We start from the raw sequence: 6,534 nt of genomic DNA on the forward strand, positions 1-6,534 counted from the left end.
TAATATTTTATTCTTCAATGCATCTACTAATCTTTTTGAAAAATTTGTTGGATATATGTCTAATTTACCTAAACTGAGATTTCTTAAATCTAAGAAAGTGTTCTAAGTTAGCATACTTGTAAAAGTGAACACATTATTTAAAAAGAAGGCACATATTCAAGAATATAAGGTATTTATAAATATGAATATAAATAAATGACATTTATAAATATTTCTCAACTGTGTGTAGAAATAGAAAAGTGAGAATAATTTTCCTTCTCTTCTGGAGGTAGATAGGAGGAAGGATTTGATTCATATGCACTGAAATTGTATAGTGTTATTGTTACTTGACACTTTATTTATGAAAGACATCTAGTGAAAAAATTCTGAGAAAATAAATTAAACATTTTTCTAAATTTTAAGAAGGTGGATATCCAGAAGCTCAGCAGAAAGGTAGCTAAGTTTTCAAAGCTGATGTAATATTCATGATGCTGAAGAGTATGGGAAGATTAAAACTAGTCTTGGTAAGGCTGAGTTTTGAGGTCTGGAGCAGCTTTCAGTTCCAGGACACATTTCAGCCTATGTTTAGTTTAGAACAAAAATTTTTTAAAAATTCTTTAAATTTTTGAGGAAAGATGAGGATTTGGCATGGTATTTGGGGAGTGTGGCCCAACCAGCTCTCCTGCTCCCTTACTCGAAGTGCAAAGTTAACACATAAATCCTCACATGGAAGAAGAATTCTGGCCAGGCATGGTGGTTCATGCCTGTAATCCCAGCAGTTTGGGAGGCTGAGGCGGGAGGATCACAAGGTCAGGAGAGTGAGCCATCTTGGCCAACATGGTGAAACCCTGTCTCTACTAAAAATACAAAAATTACCTGGGCGTGGTGGTGCGTGCCTGTAATCCCGGCTAATCGGGAGGCTGAGGCAGGAGAATCGCTTGAACCAGGGAGTCAGAGGTTGCATTGGAGGAAATAAACAAACTTACCCACACGACAGAATAGAAAATCCACTGTAGCTACCAATATTAATCAGCTTAGATCTTTCTTTTAAAAAAATGCAGGGCCAAAGCTTTGCTAATTGAAGAAAACCCACAGTACATATGAGAAGGATCATAATAACCAAAAGATCAAACACAGGAAAGAAAGAAGTCACTGATTAAAGGAAATTTAAAAGAAAATATCTAAATTTCTGCTCTTAGCAAGATAATACTTTTAGAAATTAAAATATTGATGAATTAAAAAATAAAAAAGAGGGCTACAAGATCCAATGAGAAAACTTGTCAGATTATAGATTAAAGAGAAAAGAAACTGAAACTAAAATAAGTGAAAGTTTAGATGCATAGAGGATAAATTCAGAAGATTCAATATCTTCTCAAAGAGTGTGAAAAGATAACAATAAGTAAAATCGAGATTTAACAATAATCTAATCTTTCCTGAAAGAAAATATTTTAGGGCTGAGCAAAAAGACTAGTATTCAAATTTCATGGGTGCTCAAACTCTAAATAGAGTTCATTTATACATTTATTCAACAAAATTTGTGTATGTCAACCACGTCATGCTCTTCTAAGAGCTGAGGATATAACTATACATAAAACAGATCCTTACCTAATGAAAGTCCTTTTGAAAGTTAAGAACAACAAAGGAAAAAAAGGAAAAAACCCTTAAAGCATCTTATGGAGAAAAAGCAAGCTACCCATAAACATACAAACATCAAGCATTCGTACTGGCATTAGCTTTCTCATCAGCACACTGGATGTCAGAAAGAGTGCAGTGAAGATTTTAGAGTTCCGAGGCCAGAGGAGATTCTGCAGATCCAGACACAGAGATGCCAGAAGCCATAGCTGAAAGTAAGGACTCGTGTTACCTATCTACGGATAAAACTGAAGCAAGTAAAAGCCAAGCATTTGTCACACTGGTTTGGAGGATTCTGCCAAGATGTGCATGAGCTTCTCTTGGGCTAAGTGCATAAAGACCCTCACTATGCTTCCCTTCAAAATGTGCTAACAAGTAAGCCTTTCAAAACACATGAAAGCTTTTCATCAATATATTGGAGGTAATGAGAATCTTTAGTATGAGATTCAAGATGTGTATCAGTCTGTTCTCACACTGCTAATAAAGACATATCTGAGACTGGGTAATTTATAAAGGAAAGAGGTTTAATTGACTCACAGTTCCACATGGTTAGAGAAGTCTCACAATCATGGCAGCAGGCAAGAGAGCTTATGCAGGGGAACTCCCATTTATAAAACCATCAGATCACGTGAGATTTATTCACTATCATGAGGACAGTATGGGGGAACCTGCCCCCATGATTCAATTATCTCTACCTGACCCTGCCCTTGACATGTGGACACTATTACAATTCAAGGTCAGATTTGACTGGGGACACAGAGCCAAACCATATCAAGCTTCTTCAAGATTTGGCATCTATTTATCATTTCAACTGATACGTTTTTAAAACAATATTTTATCTTCCAAACTGCCTCATTCTCTGTCTACTCAATGTCCTTGTGCATATTGTCCCTTTTCTTTTCTACCCCTAGAACACTTCTTATCATTAACCTGCATTTAAAATGTCATTGTTCCTGAGAAGATTCCTGCAATAGTGCTGGTTTTGGTCAGGTGCCCCCCTTCACGCTTCCAGGACACCTGGTGCAAATTTCTCTTTCAGGATGGGAAACATTACTTTTGGTCATTTGACGGCAAGCATGTACCTTGTACATTTCTACAATTATAGTAACTAGAAAAGTTCTTGAACCTTGGATGTTCTAAATAAATGCTTAGTAATTGAAAGAAAAAGGAAGTGGCTGGCCTTTTTGGGCTGAGGGATAATTAAGAAAATGTAATACAAACCGCAATGGCTTTGAAATTTGAGGTAGACCATAGTCTATGATATTCAAAAGAGGTTTTAAACTTGAAGAGTACAAAAATAAAAACAGATCTTTAAAAATAATGATTGAATCCACATCACATAACATTTAACTTTAGCATAAAAGTATATGCCTACTGATAAATCCTGTTCTTTGGATTCAGATACCAACTTCAAGTTTTGCCTCAACCAGGAACTATAGAGAACACCGAACCGGTCTTTCTGTTCTGATCTGATATGGATTCGCCTTTCAGGCTTGATTGATCTTGTACTATGTGAACTGCATTGCTATTGTTCCACCAGATAAGCTTTGGTAGTTTCAAGGCTCTTATTTTTATTTGGAGACCATTATCCTCCTTTAAAAATGTGGTTGCTTGAAGTTTGCTTTAATTACCTTAGCCTAACATTGATTTTTACAAAGGTTAGAATCTTCCACAATGCAAATTTTTGAGCTACTAGGCTCAATGAAGCAATTTGCATGTGGGCTTAATGTAGCAATTTGCATCTCTGTGTTTTCTGTGTTTTGTTAAGGATCTTTCCTGCATAGGAGAGGCATTTGGTCCAGGTCTAAAATTCACAGGCCTCAAATTTTGATTTTACCTTTGATACAAACCTTCTAGTGGATAACAAAATTTCATTGCATTTTGCTTCGTTTGTGTGTATTATATGCACGATTATGAAAATGTTAACATTTAAAATATCCCATGAATTTTAGATCTCTGTTTTATTATTTTAGACCTCTATTATTTAGACCTCTTGTTTATTATTTATTTTTAAGCTATCAGAAAACCCTGAAGATTAGGCAGGTTTTCTCAATTGCAGAGAGGCCCTCTGGCCCTTCAGTTGTACTTTCTCCCCTCAGCTATGAGATCTGCTATGTTGAAAAAATAAAATAAAATGTTGTGTTCTACCCATTTAAATGGAAAATATGACTTCCTATTTGGATTCAACTTTCCTAAAAAAGCTTTACCATTAGACAGTGTGGGCTTTTTATAGTTTGGCAGTGGTGAATTTTATCAATTTGGACTTTAATAAGGAGCTAACTTTCTAAATTAGTGAAAGTTATGAAAAACTTACAAATGAAATTTAAAACCGTGATTTGGAATATTTGATGGGGCATATTGAGATGCAGAAAAACTAGAGGTATTCAAAGTATATTCCAAGTTCTAGAATGCATTAAGAGGTAGGAGAAGCAAACAAAGCAGTAATTTATTAGAACTAGCATGGGTTCACCAAGAACAATTTGTGTGAGGCTCTCATTTTTTAGTATCTCAAACTCTGTGCCTTTTCAAATAAATCACAAATATCTTGAAAATTTATCACTCAACTTATAGCTCTTCAAGACTGTAGATGCTAGTTTACATATTGTTGAACTTCAATAAAGAAATAATTGAGTTTTGAAAAAATATAGTAGATAAATCATACCATATTTAGTCACATAAATCATCATGACATGTAAAATAATATTCTGGACAAGATAAACATATTTTATCAACTTACATGATGATGACTTAGAGATTTTTCTTACTAGGGTGTTTAATTTGAATTGACAAAGTTGTTTCAAGGGACAGAGGATGTGCTGGGAGATAGAATTGCCCAGGCCATCCCCAAGTTCAATGATTTGCTAGAAGAACTCACAAGACTCAGCATATAGTTGTACTCATGGCTATTATTTATTACAGCAAAATGATACAAAGCAAAATCAGCCAATGGAAAGTGTACATAGAATGAATCTGGATGAAATCAGGCTGGGATTCAAAAAGTCCTCTTCCAGTAAAGTCACAGGGGACATGCTTAATTTCCCCAGCAATTAATGTGACAACATGCATGAAATATTGTCTACTGGAGAATCTCATTAGAAGAGGCCAACTGAATTTGTACTGGAGACTGGCCACATAAGCATCTTTGACTTAGTATGTACCAAAACTCCAGGTTTTCAGAAGAAACGCACAAGATCTGAACAAATCCTATTGTTTGTACAAACAGTTTAGGTACAGTGAGCTACTACAGAATTCTGAGAATGGTGGGAATACTCACAAAATCCAGATGACAGCCAAGAGCTTACCACATAATCAGGGCATTCTAAAAATAGTATTTTCATGCCTGCTATATTCACCTTTTTCTTCACAAAAATAAATAGCAAACGGGAGGAGGTTCTAAGATGGCCAAATAGGAGCAGCTCCAGTCTACAGCTCCCAGCGTGAGTGATGCAGAAGACGGGCGATTTCTGCGTTTCCAACTGAGCCTCCACTGGTGATACCCAGGCAAACAGGGTCTGGAGTGGACCTCCGGCAAACTCCAACAGACCTGCAGCTGAGGGTCCTGACTGTTAGAAGGAAAACTAACAACAGAAAGGACATCCACACCAAAACCCTATCTGTACGTCACCATCATCAAAGACCAAAGGTAGATAAAACCACAAAGATGGGGAGAAACCAGAGGAGAAAAACTGAAAATTCTTAAAGTCAGAGCACCTCTTCTCCTCCAAAGGAATGCAGTTCCTCACCAGCAATGGAACCAAGCTGGACAGAGAATGACTTTGACAAGTTGAGAAAAGAAGGCTTCAGACGATCAGTAATAACAAACTTCTCTGAGCTAAAGGAGGATGTTCGAACCCATTGCAAAGAAGCTAAAAGCCTTGAAAAAAGATTAGAGGATTGGCTAACTAGAATTAACAGCATAGAGAAAACCTTAAGTTACCTGACGGAGCTGAAAACCATGGCACGAGAACTACGTGACGAATGCACAAGCTTCAGTAGCCGATTTGATCAAGTGGAAGAAAGGATATCAGGGATTGAAGATCAAATGAATGAAATGAAGCGAGAAGAGAAGTTTAGAGAAAAAAGAGTAAAAAGAAATGAACAAAGTCTCCAAGAAATATGGGACTATGTGAAAAGACCAAATCTATGTCTGATTGGTGTACCTGAAAGTGATGGGGAGAATGGAACCGAGTTGGAAAACACTCTTCAGGATATTATCCAGGAGAACTTCCCCAACCTAGGAAGGCAGGCCAACATTCAAATTCAGGAAATACAGAGAACATCACAAAGATACTCCTCAAAAAGAGCAACTCCAAGACATGTAATTGTCAGATTCACCAAAGTTGAAATGAAGGAAAAAATGTTAAGGGCAGCCAGAGAGAAAGGTTGGGTTACCCACAAAGGGAAGCCCATCAGACTAACAGTGGATCTCTCGGCAGAAACTCTACAAGCCAGAAGAGAGTGGGGGCCAATATTCAACATTCTTAAAGAAAAGAATTTTCAACCCAGAATTTCATATGCAGCCAAACTAAGCTTCATAAGTGAAGGAGGAATAAAATCCTTTACAGTAAAGCAAATGCTGAGAGATTTTGTCACCACCAGGCCTGCCTTACAAGAGCTCCTGAAGGAAGCACTAAACATGGAAAGGAACAACCAGTACCAGCCACTGCAAAAACATGGCAAATTGTAAAGACCATCCATGCTAGGAAGAAACTGCATCAACTAACGAGCAAAATAACCAGCTAACATCAGAATGACAGGATCAAATTCACACATAACAATATTAACCTTAAATGTAAATTGGCTAAATGCTCCAATTAAAAGACACAGGCTAGCAAATTGGATAAAGAGGCAAGACCCATTGGTATGCTGTATTCAGGAGACCCATCTCATGTGCAGAGACACACATAGGCTCAAAATAAAGGG

Source organism: Homo sapiens, chromosome 3 (assembly GCF_000001405.40).
Source record: "Homo sapiens chromosome 3, GRCh38.p14 Primary Assembly".
In the NCBI taxonomy this organism is placed as follows: Eukaryota; Metazoa; Chordata; class Mammalia; order Primates; family Hominidae; genus Homo; species Homo sapiens.